We start from the raw sequence: 17,137 nt of genomic DNA on the forward strand, positions 1-17,137 counted from the left end.
GAATTTTTTTGTCTGTATATTAGAAATGAACTAGAATGTTTGCACAGAAATAATCTTTTTCTTTCAATTGTCTGTTTCAAAATATCACATAATATTCAAAATCATTTTAATATAGAAAGATTTCTAGAAATCAAAAATTATTGCTAATATTATTAAAGTAATTACAGTTTAATTCACACACATAGAATCAACTACAAATAATAGAAAGAATCAGTCCATATTGTATTAGTTCGTTTTCATGCTACTGATGAAGACATACCCGACACTGGGCAATTTATGAAAGAAATAGGTTTAATGGACTTACAGTTCCACATAGCTAGGGAGGCCTCACAATCATGGTGGAAGGCAAGGAGGGGCAAGTCACGTTTTACATGGGTGGTGAGAGGCAAAGAGAGAGAGAGCTTGTGCAGGAAAACTCCTGTTTTTAAAACCATTAGATCTCATAAGACTTATTCACTATGACAAGAACAGCATGGGAAAGACCTACCCCTATGATTGAATTACCTCCCACCGGGTTCCTACCACAACACGTGGGAATTGTGGGAGTTACAATTCAAGATGAGATTTGGGGTGGACACAGCCAAACCATATCATATATGAACTATGTGATACTCCTCAAAACCCTGGATTACAGTCAGATTAGGACTATTTCTGAGAAATAAAGTGTAGTCGTTAATCCTCAATTTTGTGTCAAAATGCTAGTTACAATGGAATAACATTGTTGCCCACTTCAAGCTAATTGCTTTTTGAGGAAATGATTGCATATATATTTCCACATGTACATCATTTTATCTCTGAAATATATGACCACCCAAGTATCTGGAGAAACACTCTTCATTATTAATTTGTATAGTTATTCATATCAGCCATTGTCATAGAAATCTTTTCCTTCAGTAATTTTTAGAGATAAAATCCTTCATTTAAGAATAATTTAAAGTTAATGGTAGAATTATATAACAGAGAAGACAGTAATTATAGCTACAATAATGATTTTGCTAATGTCCATCATCAATCTGATGGTGTAGCTATCTACAGAAATCATTAGGTTACCAAAATTAATGTATTATCCAGAGGCAAAATTTCTTTTGAAATATTTACTGAGTTCCCAATATATGTCATGACCTGTGTTGGCATGGGTGATAGATTTGTTTCTATCTTCAAAGACTAAAATCTAATACTATAACAGAAAAGCTTAAATATTTTTCATGCGTACAACCTGGCCTTCATTCTTTTAATCCAAAACATTAGGGCTACAAATACTGTTTATTTCACCAAGGATTATAGAGTTATGTCATGTTCTGTTGACTGTTATTATTTATGACATAATTTTGAACAATAAATTATGATTTGAGAAGAAGAAATTAGGTAAAAATGATGAGGAATACTTAGAGCTAAGCAATACAAAAGAAAAGCTTTGGAGGTGAATTCAAAACCTAAAGGATGACACTGAAGTACAACTTGATTGTAAAACTAGTTTTGTAACTAGATAAATATCCTTATTCATTTAACTTTTATTTGTATTTATAAATAATAATTGGGCCAGGAGTGGTGGCTCATTCCTGTAATCCCAGCACTTTGGGAGGCTGAGGCAGGTGGATCACTTGAGCTAAAGAGTTCAAGACCAGCCTGGGCAACATGGCAAACCCCCCTCTCTAAAAACAAACTACATAAATTAGATGAGTATGGTGGTGCACATCTGTAGTCCCAGCTACTTGGGAGGCTGAGGCATGAGAATCACTTGAGCTCAGAGGAGGTGGAGTTTGCAGTGAGCTATGATTACACCACTTCACTCCAGCCAGGGCTACAGAGCAAGATCCTGCTTAAAATAAATAAATGAGTAATAAAAATAATAATTGTACCAGAGTTAACATTCCTAATGCTTATATATTGTAGGCTTTGAATTAAATTTGTTAAGTAAATTCTCATTCCTGAAAACTCTACCCTGAGGTATGCATTATTATTATCCATCACATTTTATAGAAGATCAAACTTCTGTAGCAAATGAGCTTGAATTCACAATTTTAGTAGTGAGCAGAGCTAGAAATAAAACACAGGATAAATTTAGAGTGCATGATATAAACACTATAATAAGGTTACTAGTATAAGATATGAATTTCAGAGAAATCTTTTGAGCTCCCAAAGAGATTGAGTAAAACAGTCGATCGGTGTCTACTGGGGTTCAAAATATGCTAATACTTGTCCATCTTCCTATTAGAAATAAGATAAGGATGTCTCTCAAACTAAAGCTTTCTACACTTAAAAAAAAGACAACTATATTTGTTATCTATTAACCTAAGATCAAATGAAAGATTCACAAAGTTTTCTCATGGACACCGAATCTGACAGCGGAGATTCACATACATAGACAGACTACATTTTTCAGATATTGCTACACAGTAGGGAGTACTAAAGAGGTCAACATAAGCTGATGCAGGCACAGCTCCTAAAACTGTATCAGTAGCACTGCAGCTTTTTTTCCCTACTGATTTCTACTAATTCCTGACCCAATAATATGCCAGTCTACATATGTGGAGACCAGATACACCAGGTCAGTATGTACTTCACTAATCATAACACTCAACTTTCTAATCTTATGCTCGCTTTGATGTCTGGCACATATTAGGACACAGACTTTTTTTTTTCTTTTTTGAGATGGTGTCCTACTCTGTCACCCAGGTTGGAGTGCAGTGGCACCATCTCAGCTCACTGCAACCTCTGCCTCCTGGGTTCAAGTGATGCTCTTGCCTCAGCCTCCTGAGTAGCTGGGATTACAGGCACCCACCACCATGCCCGGCTAAATTTTTTTTGTGTGTTTTTAGCAGAGACGATATTTCACCATGTTGGCCAGGTTGGTCTTGAACTCCTGATCTCAAATGATCCAGCCACCTTGACCTCCCGAAGTGCTAGGATTACAGCTGTGAGTCACCATGTCTGGACAGGATACAGACTTTTAAATCAATTTATGTATGATTCTAGTGACTTTCAAATTTATACTTGACAGTCTTCTGGAAGTAAATGAAAAAATAGTTAAAGACTTTAAAATAAAACACTGACAAAGTAAAAGTCTAAGTATTTTTCATGTGAATAGACTTGGCTTCATTCTTTTAATCAAAGACATTGGATAAAAACAGTAGTGTTCCTGTAGTCCAAGCTACTTTGTGAGATGAGGCAGGAAGATCTCTTGAGCCTGAGTCCAGCCAAGGCAACATAGCAAGATGCCATCTCTAAAATAATAACAATAATAATGATAATAATAATAGTAATAGTAATCTGTGGCTCTTTAAGAAAGATAGATTTTCTACTGTACCCATAGCTTAAAGTGTATATGTAATCCCTGTGCATTAAGGGTACAGATCAATGCAAAAATTAATTCTGTGTCTACTTGTTTATGACCATGTAGAATAGTTCAAACATACGCCTTATTATTAGGAGTTATGAAACCAACCAGAGACTTTTTTAGTTTTCTATATATAAAAATATAATGTAAATGTGCTGCACAATGCCTCATGATAAAAGGCACATGATAAAAGGCACCTGGTGATTTTGAGTGGTATCTCAAAATCACTTCCAGGTGATTTTCTGAACCTTATGCCAAATAAGATGAGAAAATATGTAAGCCCTTACAGCAGAAGAAGTTAGAGGTCAAAGAAACCTCAGTCATTTTTACTAGCAAAGCTTGCTTTAAAAATATTTAGGCTTCAAATGCATTCGCTTTTTACCAGGCTTTTCAATATAAATAAAAGAAAGACCAAAAAACTGAAGTAGCAAAGAAGTGAATACCAGAAAAAAAAAAAAGAAAGAGATAAAGGAAATGAGCATAGGTTTGAAATATTTCAGAGACTAGCACAAACTGGGTTATATGTTCTTTCTTTGGGCATTTTTTATGTTTGAAGAGAATGTTCTGTTCCCACAGAGAGACCTACTAAGAACAGCAAATGAAAAAGAGTGAGAAAGGAAAGAATAGCTCTCTGTATACTAATACTTTATTTATTTATTTATTTATTTTAAATATTTTATTTTTGGAGACAGAGTCTTGTTCTGTCACCAAGGCTGGAGTGCAGTGGTGATCATAGCTCACTGCATCTTCAAAGTCATGAGCTCAAGCAATCCTTCTGCCTCAGCCTTTTGAGTAGCTGGGACTACAGGCACACCATCATGCCCAGGTAATTTTTTTGTTGTTGTTGTTGTTTACTAGAAATGAGGCCTCACTATGTTGCCCAGGCTGATCTTGAACTTCTGGCCTCAAGTGATCCTCCTGCCTCAGCCTCCCAAAGTACTTCAGAGTACTTTAGAAACATCAAACTAACATTCCAAATGGGTGGTATCACAGAGAGCATGGCTTGAAATACATGTCTTCTTAGAAAATTCAACTTCATCACAGCACACTTTACATACAATGAAATTCACTAATTTTAATGTGTAGTTCAAGGAACTTTGACAGATGTATATAGTTGCGTTACCACCACCAAAGTCAAAATGCAAAATAGTTCTATTATACCAACGAGTTTCCTATTCCAATTCTCAAGAAATCCCTTCCCATCACTTAGCCTGTGGGGTACAGCAAGGGGGTCAAGGTATCTCAGGCGAAAGGAAAAGGAGGGGTAAGTCAATCAATATGTATTGAGGATGCACAGCACATGCGGCCTTGTAGGTCAGAGGAGGTCAAGGACTTTGGGTTTACTCTAAATGAAATGGGAGGCATGGGAGGGTTTTGAGCAAAGGAGTGGTCTGATTTAGGTTTTGAAAGGAATATGGAGAAACTATATGTATACAAGTGTTGAACAAATAAGTAAATATACTATAGGTGATAAGAGCCAGGCTTCTCACTGCTGGAGAAAGAAGTTACAAATGAGAAATGAGGGAAGGAATGTTAGAATGATTCTTGTGGGTGGGAATTGGAGTCATCAATATGCCCTCATGTGTGTACAGCTAGCCAGATAGAGAAATAAATACAGACATGCCTGTAAACATGGGTTACATGTGTGCATGTGTGTGTGTATGTGTGTGTATTGCCATCTTAACAGTAGTATGTCTTCCAATCAATGAACACAGGCTGTCTTTCCATCAATTTAGGTCTCTTTAAAAATGTATTTCCGGCTGGACGTGGTGGATCACACCGTAATCCCAACACTGTGGGAGGCTGAGGTGGGCGGATCACTTGAGGTCAGGAGTTCGAGACCAGCAACATGGTAAAACTCTGTATTTACCAAAAAATGCAAAAATTAGCCAGACGTAGTGGCACACATTTGTAATCCCAGATACTCAGGAGGCTAAGGCACGAGAATCGCTTGAACCCGGGAGTTGGAGGTTGCAGTGGGCTGAGATTGTGCCACTGTACTCCAACCTGGGCAACAGAGTGACACTCTGTCTCAAAAAAAAAATATATGTATTTCAACAATGTTTGGTCATTTCAGGGTATACTTAATATTTTTTATGTATTCATACTTATCTTTTAAATCAGTCTTTTTCAGAATACAGCATAACTGTAAGTGGGATTTAAAAAGTCCTCAAGGAATATAATGGGAATATAATGAAACATTTCTAATCTTTAAGAATTAAGTCAACAAGTGTTAATGAATGTTCATTATAGGCCTTGTTCTATGTGAGAACATGAGATTATTGCAGAAGAATGTCTTTTTAAATCAAGACTTTACTAAATTTGAAAAAAAACAGCATTTATAGACATCATAAAATAAAGCGACAATATGCTAATATATGATTAACTGCTAAATTGAATAATGTAAGTATGCCTTTCCCCACGCCCAGCCCCATTATCCTCCAAAGCTTATCTTACCACAGTCCCTTTAGAAGTCAAGGGCCTTCTGTGCTTTTGAGATGCTTACAAATGTCTTTGGTTGTGGCAAAGCAAACAAGGGAGTTTTGACGGGGACTCAAAAAATTTCACAGCACAAAAGGGCATTCTCTGCTGAAAGAGGCTCTGGTGGTTTAAAAGCAATGGTCAATGGGAAGCATTTGTTCTGTAGGAAGGTGAAGCCCATCTGGCCTCTCTTCAGATGGGGTGAGCTGCTTGCTTGAATGAAGAGTTACAGTTTTCAGCTGTTACGTCGTCTTGCACTTGGCTGGCCACATACTGCTCCTATCTTTTGATGAGTGTACGCAAATCCTCCAGAACACATCCTTTTGTCTTTGACGCTGGCCTTCCTTCATGACCATAAGCCTGTCACTCTGTCAACCCTGTTCAATTCCATATGATTCTCCTTTACTCTTACGTGGGCCACCAACCATTTCTTTCTTTTCCTTTCTATACACTTTCTAAAGTTTTCTGTGTGATCAATTTGATGTTCTCATCCTGTCTGTTCCTAGACTGTTGACTGTCAAGGGCCTAGTTAGGACTTTTTAATTTTTTTTTTTTTTTTTTTTTTGCTGTGTCTTTGTTTTTACATTTCTTTTCTTTTTTTTTTTTTCTTTTTCCCTTGTTTTTCGAAGACAGCATCTCGCTATGTTGCCCAGGCTGGTCTCAAACTCCTGGACTCAAGAAGTCCTCCTACCGGGGTTACCCACAATGCTAGGATTACAGGGGTGAGCCACCACACCCAGCCTAGCCTCTCTTTGCATTTCTGCTGTAACAATCCTGGACAATTTCAAGGTACTTCCATCCCCTTAAATCAAAAGGGAAAGAGAAGAATGTATAGGAAGCCTGATGATTAACATTCCAAAATATTTTGTTTAAAGTAACATAATAGAATATACAGTTTAACTGTTTCCCATATGTTATTGTCCCATTCCAGTGGCCTGCTGAACAGGTTTTAGGATTTATTCTACATGCATCTAAACCAAAAATGTTTACAATGATCCTTCTAAACAGCTGCTGTTACTGACGACTGTTTCTTCCTGTCCTGCTGCTTCCATTTGTTTGTTTTTTGTTTGTTTCTTTTAACTTAATTAGCTATTTTATTTGTTTATTTAATTTTTCCATAGGTTATTAGTGTACAGGAGGTGTTTGGTTACATAAGTTCTTTAGTGATGATTTATGAGATTTTGTACACTCATCACCCGAGCAGTATACGCTGCACACTATTTGCTTTTAGCCCTCACCACCTTCTCACCTTTCCCCACCAAGTCCCCAAAGTCCATTGTATCATTCTTATGCCTTTGTGTCCTCATAGCTGAGCTTCCACGTATCACTGAGAACATATGATGTTTGGTTTTCCATTTCTGAATTACTTCACTTAGAGTATAATCTCCAATCTCATCCAGGTTGCTGCGAATGCTGTTTATTCCTTTTTATGGCTAAGCAGTATTCCATTGTATATATATACCACAGTTTCTTTATCTACTCTTTATTTGATGGTCATTTGGTTTGGTTCTATGATTTTGAACTTGAAAACTGTGCCACTATAAAACAATAAAAAAGATAAATGAAACAAAAAGCTCATTCTTTGAAAAGATAAATAAAATTGAGAGACCATTAGCAAGATTAACCAAGAAAAGAAAGAAAATTCAAATAACCTCTAAGAAATGAAATAAAAGATATTACAACTGACACCACAGAAATACAAAAGATCATTCAAGGCTACTATTGTTCCTGGACCCAACTGAGGGTCAGGCTGCTGTTTCTCATGGCCCAATAACAAGATGCAGATGAACTGGGGAGAAAGAGAGTTTTATTTCTGTAACTGGTTACAGGAAGAAGGCCTGGAAATTATCACCTGACCAACTCAAAATTACAAAGTTTTTCAGAGCTTATATACCTTCTAAGCTATACATATACATGTAAGTGTGCATTCATTTAAAGACGTAAGTGATTGACTTCTTTTCATCTATACCTAAGGTCTCAGTCCTGAAGACCTTCTTCTGGAACCTCAGTAAGTTTACTGACTCTAAATGGGGTGATTACCCTTATCTTGCCTCCTGCTACATCACGGAGTTTTGGGGAGTTCCTTCAGACCCCCAATAAACTTGTTTGTGAAGGCCTGAGGAGTTTATTCAGACTCCAATAAAACTTGTTCAATCCAAAATAAGTCCCGTTAAGAATTCCTTTGCTATTTTGTCATGCTTTAAGGCCCAGGAAAGGCCTAGGCAAAACTCTTGATGGGCTTTTGTTCTATCCCAGTCTTTGTATAAGAGCACTGGCTTCCTTTTTTAGCTTTTAATATTGAACTTAACCACTCAGTCAGTACTGAAACAGTGGTGATGGAAGCCTGCATTAGTGAAACCTGGCCTGCCACACTATGAACATCTTTATGCACATAAACTAGAAAACCTAGAAGAGATGAATAAATTCCCGGAAAGATACAACCCTCCTAGCTTAAGTCAGGAAGAATTAGATACCCTGACCTGAACATACCAATAACAAGCAGTGAGATTGAAATTGTAGTTAAAAAACTACCAACCAAAAAAAAGTCCTGCTTCTGTTTTCTTAGTCACCCAATCTTGAAAACTAATAGCAATACTGTCAACATAAAGAAAGAAATTGAGGCTAAGGTAATAATAAACAGTTTATTTGAGTGAATATTGAGGGCTGAAGCCCAGAAACACTTCCAAGTTACCTTGGGAAGTGCTCAAGAGAACAAAGGAGAGGCTCAAGTCTTTAAAGAAAAAAGGATGAATCTGAATAGTTGCAATTACAAAAGTTATTTGTAAGGAATTCTAATTGATTTACAGAAATAACATTGATGAGCTATTGACTATCATTACTGAATGACCATAGAGTGTTAGGTTAATTATAGAGTTGTTTGTATATCTTTTGAGTAATCTGTTAAAAAGGGAGTAAGGGAAGAGGGAGAAAGAGAAACAGATTCTGTTGGTCTCATGCTATCTTTCTTAGGTCTTTTGATTGTTTGGAAAACTGAGTGTCTTTTACTATCTTATGAATAATATATAAACATCGTGTTCAAAAGAAAAAACGGAATGGTACTTTGCATCAGTGTATTATAAATAGTAAACCTAATTTTAATGGAAGCTTCTAAAGAGATCCATCAAACCTCAACTAGCTTTGACTACACAAGATTTCTGTAAACATTTTTTAAGCTTTCACAATTTTTATTCTTTTTTCCCAACGTTCTATATCCATTCAGTTAATCCATCTCATTCTTTTTCCTTTTATTCTCTCAGTTTAATCCATTCTTTAAATAACCTCTAAACTAGGCAAAGTCACTGTTGCAAAAACAAACAAACAAACAAACAAAACACACACCCATATATTTTCCCTAACCTTTCTTACCCCTAATATATCTCACTTTTTAAATACATTTTGAATATAGAATTGTTTTCCATTATCTAGCCTTAGTTACCATATACCAGTCTAAAGTTATAAATTGAATGTACTGTAACTGAGTATGCCATTTTCTTAAAAGTTATCTTTTTTTTTTTTTAAATACTATGCAGCCATAAAAAATGATGAGTTCATGTCCTTTGTAGGGACATGGATGAAGCTGGAAACCATCATTCTCAGCAAAGTATCGCAAGGACAAAAGTTATCTTTACTTCTCTCTTCTTCCTTGTGTTCACCTCTCACTTAGCATCTCAGGAATGCAAACGTAACCTTTACCTTCCTTTCCTCTGGCCAGAGTGCCTACAAGCATTGTTAGCTGTATGTTTGCTTAGAAGATCCAGGGACCAAGTCTTGAAACAAACCAAGCACCCTCCAGAATTCTCCCCCACCAGGAAACTACAGGCCGAATCTGTCTGCAGTGGTGCCAGCCCGACTACCAGATGACCTATTAATTGAGATGAGTCCCCAAGAAAGTCACATAAACCACCACCTCCATGCCTCTTCTGCATACCCTGCATACCAAAATTTCTCTTCTTAAAACCCTGCTTTCTGCCCACAAAGCTGAAGTGGGTCATTTACATATGAATCTAGCCCTTTCCCATTGCTAAGCTTGGGAATTAAGCACTTTCTTTTTACCGCCCTCGTGCTTGTTATTTGATTTTGCAAGTGGAGAGTGGGCAAACCTGTGTTCAGCAACAATGTCTCTTGAGGCCTTCCAAGGAAAGATGAGATTTATCTTAAATATACAAAGCCTTCTGTCCCCACTTCCTCTTAATCAATGAAATTTGTTATTTTATTCCTTTTGTTGATTGTATATTTACCATTGTAATATACATCGAATTTGAGAAGGACTTTTAGTTGTTACTTTCTGTTTTAACAACCCTTGGCTTTCTCCCCCATTGTAGCCTACTCCTGTTTTATCTTGGGCTACTTCTTTTTATTGCTTTCCTTTTCATGACTACTGACCCTCACATTCTTTCTGTTTTGCAGAAATTTGTAGAAATTTTTCACTGAGTGTTTTTTCTTTTATCTTTTTTTTCTGCTCTTTTATAGTTTTTTCTTTTTTATATCATTTTATTGGTGCTTTGGAGAGAAGAGGAGAAACTTAAACTCAAACATGTTAAAAGAAAAGCAATTCAGCCTAACCAACATGGTGAAACCCAATCTCTACTAAAAATACAAAAATTAGCTTGGCGTGGTGCATAATCCTAGCTACTCAGGAGGCTGAGGCCCGCGAATCACTTGAACCCGGTGTTACCGGGGGATCCTTGTTTTTAGAGCGCCCAAGATGGTGGCAGTCACTTCCAAGATGGTGGCAAGCCTCTTGTTCTCTGACCTGGGGTTCTTGGCCTCACGGATTCCAAGAAATGGCATCTTAGGCCGTGCGTGAGTGTCATAGCTCTATTAGAAGCTGTGGGTCATGGAAGAGAACCGTTGAACCCAGCGACTAGTGTTCGGCTCGATTAGGACGAACCTGGGCACTTAGCTGTGCAGGAACAATGGCAAAACTTTAGCCCAATCGGGAGTGGCAATGGGCGCCTAGCTGGATCAGAAGCACAGCTGACACCCTGCCAGATCCAGAAGGGTGGAAGTCAGCGGCGGATCTGCAACGGGCAAACAGCAGTGGTGGACAGCAAGCGGAAGCTCAGCTCAGCTCCAGCCCTGAGAAAGACCAGAAGACTGTGCAGCAGCAAGATTTAATAGAGTGAAAACGGAGCTCCCACAAAATGGGAGGGGACCCAAAAGGGGTTGCCGTCACCGGCTGGAATGCCTAGGTTTATATCCCGATCATTGTCCCTCCCCCTGGGCTCTCAGGCGATAGATGATTGGCTATTTCTTCACCTTCTGTTTTAGCCTAATTAGCATCTTAGTGAGCTTTCTTTACTACCTGATTGGGCAGGTGTGAGCTAAGTTGCAAGCCCTGTGTTTAAAGGTGGATGCGTCACCTTCCCAGCTAGGCTTAGGGATTCTTAGTCGGCCTAGGAAATCCAGCTAGTCCTGTCTCTCACTGGGAGAGGAAGGTTGTAGTGAGCCGAGATAGCGCCACTGCACTCCAGCCTGAGCGACAGAGCAAGACTCCGTCGCAAATAAAAAAAGGAAAAAAAAAAAAAGAAAAGAAGCAATTGTATTAACTGTCTTATGTACTTTTTTGCATCTTAAATATTCTATAATACCTTTTTTTCATATTTTGCGATTATTAAAAGTCAAGTTCCCAAGAAAATAGATTCTCCAATAGGGATTAGTGTGCATCAAGTTTATTAGGAAGTTGTAATATAATAAGAAATATATTTGATCTCTGCCCCCATGACCCAGCATACAGCTTCTAAAACTCTTGCAATCTTTGAGATGATGTGTCTTTTGTATGCTAGTGAGAGGACTGGTGCTGGGGGGCAGTTACTGGATAGCATTAGCATAGGGGCTGGTTGCCAGGGGAACCAACTAAGTGATTGTGACTTTCAGTCCCTACCTTGATATTCTGGGAGAAAAGAGGGATTGGAGGTTGAGTCAGTCACTAATGGCCAATGATTGAGTCAGTCATGTGTATGTAATAAGGCCTCCATAAAAACCGAAGAGGATGGGGTTTGCAGAGCTTCTAGGCTGGTGAGCACTTGGATGTGCTGGAGGCATCCAGAGGGTGGAGCACGTGGAGAGGGCATGAATGCTCAGTGCACCTTCCCTCATACCTTGCCTTATACAGCGTTTCCATCTGGCTGCTGTTGAGTTTTATTCTTTATAACAATATGCTAACCCTAAGCAAAGTTTTCCTGAGTTCTGTGAGCCATTCTAGCAAATGGTGGAACCTGAGAAAGGGGACATGGGAATCTCTGACTTACAGCCAGTCAGCCCGAAGCACAGGTAACAAATTGGACTTGTTATTGGTATCTGACATAGGGGAAGTCTTGTGGATCTGACCTCTTAATCTGTGGGATTTTACGCTCTCTCCAGGTAGACAGTGTCCGAATTGAGCTAAATTGTAGGGCATTCAGTTTGTGTCTGCAAAGAATTGGGGAATTGCTTGGTGTGGGAAAACGAAAATTAACATTTGATGTCAGAAGTGAGAATAGCCGAGAGTATAGTGTAAAAACAGTGTGTTTTCCTTATTCAGAGATATGCCCAGATAAATGCCTGTGGGGGCAGGGAAGTGAGTAGGATGGGACGGAGGCAGGAGTTCAGCTGTGATACTTGATGCATTCACAACACCTGAGGTAACTCATCAGCATCATCCTTAACTGAGGAAGGGAGCCAGTCCTCCCAACAAATGGAAACTGAATTTTCATTCCTGAGGGTGAGCCCGACTCTCTCAGCACAATGTCAACTACACACAAAATCCAAAGTCTAGATTTGGAAATGAAAACTATGTGGCACATATACACTATGCAATACTATGCAGCCATAAAAAAAGATGAGTTCATGTCCTTTGCAGAGACATGGCTGAAGCTGGAAACCATCATTCTCAGCAAACTAACACAAGAACAGAAAACCAAACACCATATGTTCTCACTCATAAGTGGGAGTTGAACAATGAGAATACATGGACACAGGGAGGGAAACATCACACACTGGGGGCTGTTGGGGGATGGGAGGCTAGGGGAGGGATAGCATTAGGAGAAATACCTAATGTAGAAGATGGGTTGATGGGTGCAGCAAACCACCATGGCCCATGTATACCTATGTAACAAAACTGCATGTTCTGCACATGTAGCCCAGAACTTAAAGCATAAAAAAGAATGTAAATGAAAAAATAAAAATAAAAAAAGGAAACTATGCCCTGTCTATCCCTATTATGTTTATATTGTTTTATCTTCTACAACTGCCTAGTATGAATCCAAGTATCCCAGTATTAGTCCATTCTCACACTGCTATTAAAAAATACCTGAGACTGGGTAATTCATAAAGAAAAGAGGTTTAATGGACTCAGAGTTCCACAAACTCTACAGGAAGCTTGACGGCTTCTGGGGAAGCCTCAGGAAACCTTCAGTTATGGCAGAAGGGGAAGCGGCGTGTTTACATGGCCAGGGCAGGAGAAAGAGAGAGAGAAGGATGGTGCTGTAAACTTCTAAACAACCAGATCTCATGAGAACTCTATCACCAGAACAGCATCAAAGGGGAAAACTCACTGCTATGATCCACTCACCTCTCACCTCCCACCAACGCCCACTTCCAACATCGGGGATTAAAATTTGTAAACCAAATAAAATCCTAACCACCCCCTGCCCACCCACAATCACCTAAATGGACTTTCTCCTCAGCCAGGGCTCTTAAAATTTAACCTGAAAGACTGGTTCAGGCCATGAAGGGAAGTGGGGGTCAGACATGCTTCATTATACATCTCCAGCATCAGCATCAACACAGACTTTAAGTCTGTTAAGAAACATTTTACAGCCTGTTTTCCTCTGAAGCCTGTTAGCTAAAAGCTTCATCTGCATGATAAAACTTTGGTCTCCACAACTGTTATCACAACCCAAATATTCCTTTCTACTGATCCCAGGTCTTTAGACAAACTCAACCAATTGTCAACCAGAAAATGTTTAAATTTACCTGTAGCCTGGAAGCCCCCACTTTGAATTGCACCAGCTTTCTGGATTAAGCCAACGTATTTCTTAAATATACTTGGCTGATGTCTCATGCCTCCCTTAAATGTATAAAACCAAGCTGCACCGAAACCACCTTGGACACATGTTGTCAGGACTTCCTGAGCCTGCATCATGGGTGCGTGTCCTAAACCTTGGCAAAATAAACTTTCTAAATTAGCTGAGACCTGTCTCAGATTTTCTGGGTTCACCTTTTTGGTAACCACAGAGGGATTCTGAGTGAAGATGACTCTGACCTTTGACAAATCTTCTATTGGTGCTTGGTACCAGCATGAGATTTTATGGCTCACACCAATAGGACAATTTGCTGAGATCTGAGAACACCCCTCCAGAAAATCTCTGATCTTCCAACATTTTATCAATATCTAAAGTTTATTTTGCTGTACAACCCCTCTTTTTTGGGAGTTTTACTTGCTTCCAATGAGGAATGCAAGCTTTCCTGCTTCCATAGTGATGGAAGGCCGGTAACTCCTTTATGGAGTTTGAGCTCACTTCCAACAGGAAAGATTAGTGTTTTGTTTTGTTTCCTGCTTCTAAGATGGTAGAGAGCAGTCTATAGCCTGAGATGCAACATTAGGTAAGAAACTGATTTGGGATTCTGTCTTGCAAATTCTTCTTAAATGACTAAAGTTAGCATTAACAACCACCTGGCATTAATTTCTGCTTACTCTTAGAGCACTCAGAAATCTTGTAATTTGTGTGATCATTCTTAGTTTTGCTTAACTGTTTTGTTGTTTGTTTCTGTCTTGTTGGATTTTGTGTGTGTGTGTATGTGTGTGTGTTTTGGTCCTTTCCCTTATCGGATTTGACCAACTCATAACCCTCTAGCTCATGAGTGTGGAATCTTCTACTCCAAATAAATAAGAGCACCGCACTTGCCTCATCCTTTTGGGGCATTCTCAGGCAACTGAGAATCACATGAGGGTGTTTGGGAGGAACACTCCCTGAGATATGCAGTGGCTCTAAATAGATTTCCCCCTAAAAAGAATGTACTTAGGGCTGGCAGGTGTATATAAGGAGATGACCCCTCCCGGACCTTGAGCCCCTGACACACTGTGCCACGTAGCCACAACACAGGTGGTCTGAATCGGTTCATGGAGTAATGGCCCTGAAAAGCTAGGTCTGCAAGTGGCACATTTTGAGTCCGACGCATGTCCCAGCTTGGTCAAATCTGAAGGGGAATGCCAAATCACGGGGAACAAGACTGCTGAAATGGCTAAAAACTCACACACACACAAAAGGGTGGTATGGTTAGGAGAGGAAAATGGCCAGCAAAAGGAAAAAAAAAAAAAAAAGGGAAGATTTTTTATTTTGACTACTAAAGGGGCTTTATTTATATAACAAGACCACCTTTTTGCCAGCCAGACCAACCTGAAAGAGCAATGGCTGTACTTCTGAAATAGCAGCATTTTGTCCTAGCCGAAATAAGGTAATAAGAGATTTTAAAATATTTATTTAAAAGGAACTCAATGGTTAAAAGTCAGCTTAATTAAAAGGCTAACATCCATGATGTGTGCATATATGTGTGCATGTTTGTATTTGTATTTTAAAAGCTTTCATGTTTTCGTTTTTTTCTTCTTGTTGTTTATCTCTTCTAAGACCTTGTCTTTTTTTGGGGGGAAAAAGTGTTTTTTTCTTCTTAGTTGACTGAATTCTGTTTTTGCCTGATTTTAGCATCTCTCTCTCTAGCACTACCAGACTTTTTCTCTCTGTACCTTATGATTTACTTATGCTATTTGATTTTCACTTAAGTTGTTTCCTTTATTATGCAAATATAAGTCATTATCTGACGACTGCCTAGGGTTGTCAGCAGGTTATCAAGAATCTGAAAGTCTAAGACAGGAAAAAAAAAAGTGGGGGGGTTCTTTATGAATCAATAAAAGGTACTTCCATTGGCATGCCTAATACGTCTATCTATTTATGTGTTGTGTACACAATGTTTCACTCCTAAAAATATATAAAAGAGCTCTAATTAATTGGCTTAAAAAATACAAGTGCTTAAATCAGATACTTTAAAACAAGACTAGTCAAATGCTTTTTGTTCACGTGACTTAAGTAAACTCTTTAATAAATAAGGTGTCTTTAAAAGTATTGATAAAATGATATTAGCAATGTCTTATGAATTGTTAGTATTTTTTTTATCAAATGATTTCGGGTTTATTCCTGCAGAATACTATAAGATTTGCCATAAGGGTTATAAAACTATAAAACCCAGCCCAAGACAGAGTTATCTTTGCTTGTGTATGCTTATGAAATATTGTTGGCTTAATGAAAACAGCTAAATCCTGAGTTATTGGAATAAGTACCCTTTAATGAAACCATATGTTTTATTACTTAAGTAAATACCAGAAATTCACAGATATAAAAAATTGCTAATAGGCAAATAACTTTAAATATTGGCTATCACAGTTTTTGTAAATAATCTAGTTAAACTATTAAATAAATTAATCACGTAAATAATGGAATAAATACGTGTACACTAACATCACGATTTAAGATCTAAGGTCATTAATTGATATTAAGTACCTGGGTCATTTCCAATTTTAAACATTGTTTAAATTTCTCATTAAAAGGTAAATATCTTTGTCTAATTCAAAGCTTATTTAAGGGATATATATAAAACAAGGTAAAGAAATCAGGAAATGAGACACAAAGCTAAAGATACAAAGAGGTATTTTTTGGTAAAGAAGGTAAAAAGGAAAGGAATTTTATGTAAGAAATAATGTTGTGTGGTGGATTTTTACCCTAAAATAAAATGACTGGTTTGTTCAAGAAAAGGGGATATTTGGGGAAAAACAGAAAGTTTAAGCACGTTGTGAATGGTCTATGTAGGTCATAATAAGATTAATAAAAGTAATTTTTAAAGAGATTTTATAATTCAGTTGGCTGTGATTAAAAAGAAATTATAATAGTCTTTCTAGAGATGAGTGTTGATATTTAAAAATGCACTAATACAAAACTAAATAATTGTTTAAAACAAGTTTTATTACAAATATTAACTTATTTTTAATATGAAAAATTGTTAAATTTTAATATCTGCCTCTTTAACATTCTTCAGATTGATATCTTAAAAGTACCACTTTTATTCTTTTGAAAAGACCTTGAATGATGGCTCTCTCCTTCACCTTTTGTTGGCTTCTGTAACTTTTACTAACTATCTAAAGTAAGGGAGAAAAAATTTTTTTTGAATACAGGCAAGTAAAGTATCTTTTGGACATATATTTTACTCTGAGTGCCTGTTATATCCCTATCTTTATTTGTGTCGTGTGGAACTCATATATCACTACCAAACCACAGGAAAGAGCTCTAA

At 37.8% G+C, this 17,137-nt stretch overlaps 1 long non-coding RNA gene across 1 annotated transcript in view, besides 2 other annotated features; it reads left to right on the forward strand.

The window, feature by feature from the left end:
* Positions 1-8,401: 8,401 nt before the first annotated feature.
* LOC105374685 (uncharacterized) overlaps positions 8,402-17,137 on the forward strand; it is a 63,568-nt gene continuing 54,832 nt past the window's right edge. The window contains exon 1 of the long non-coding RNA XR_925848.3: positions 8,402-12,091. This is a non-coding gene — a long non-coding RNA (uncharacterized LOC105374685). The remainder of the gene's footprint in view (positions 12,092-17,137) is intronic.
* Positions 9,425-10,353: an enhancer, noted in NCBI's record as "OCT4-NANOG-H3K27ac-H3K4me1 hESC enhancer chr5:21614040-21614968 (GRCh37/hg19 assembly coordinates)". NCBI's record gives its function as "activates a minimal SCP1, AML or CMV promoter by ChIP-STARR-seq in primed H9 embryonic stem cells {active_cell/tissue: H9 hESC(primed)}" and the evidence as "EXISTENCE:reporter gene assay evidence [ECO:0000049][PMID:30033119]".
* Positions 9,494-9,788: a silencer, noted in NCBI's record as "tiled region #8629; K562 Repressive non-DNase unmatched - State 24:Quies". NCBI's record gives its function as "represses a minimal TATA promoter and a strong SV40 promoter by Sharpr-MPRA in K562 cells {active_cell/tissue: K562}" and the evidence as "EXISTENCE:reporter gene assay evidence [ECO:0000049][PMID:27701403]".

The sequence above is a fragment of the Homo sapiens genome, chromosome 5 (genome assembly GCF_000001405.40).
Source record: "Homo sapiens chromosome 5, GRCh38.p14 Primary Assembly".
Taxonomy (NCBI): domain Eukaryota; kingdom Metazoa; phylum Chordata; class Mammalia; order Primates; family Hominidae; genus Homo; species Homo sapiens.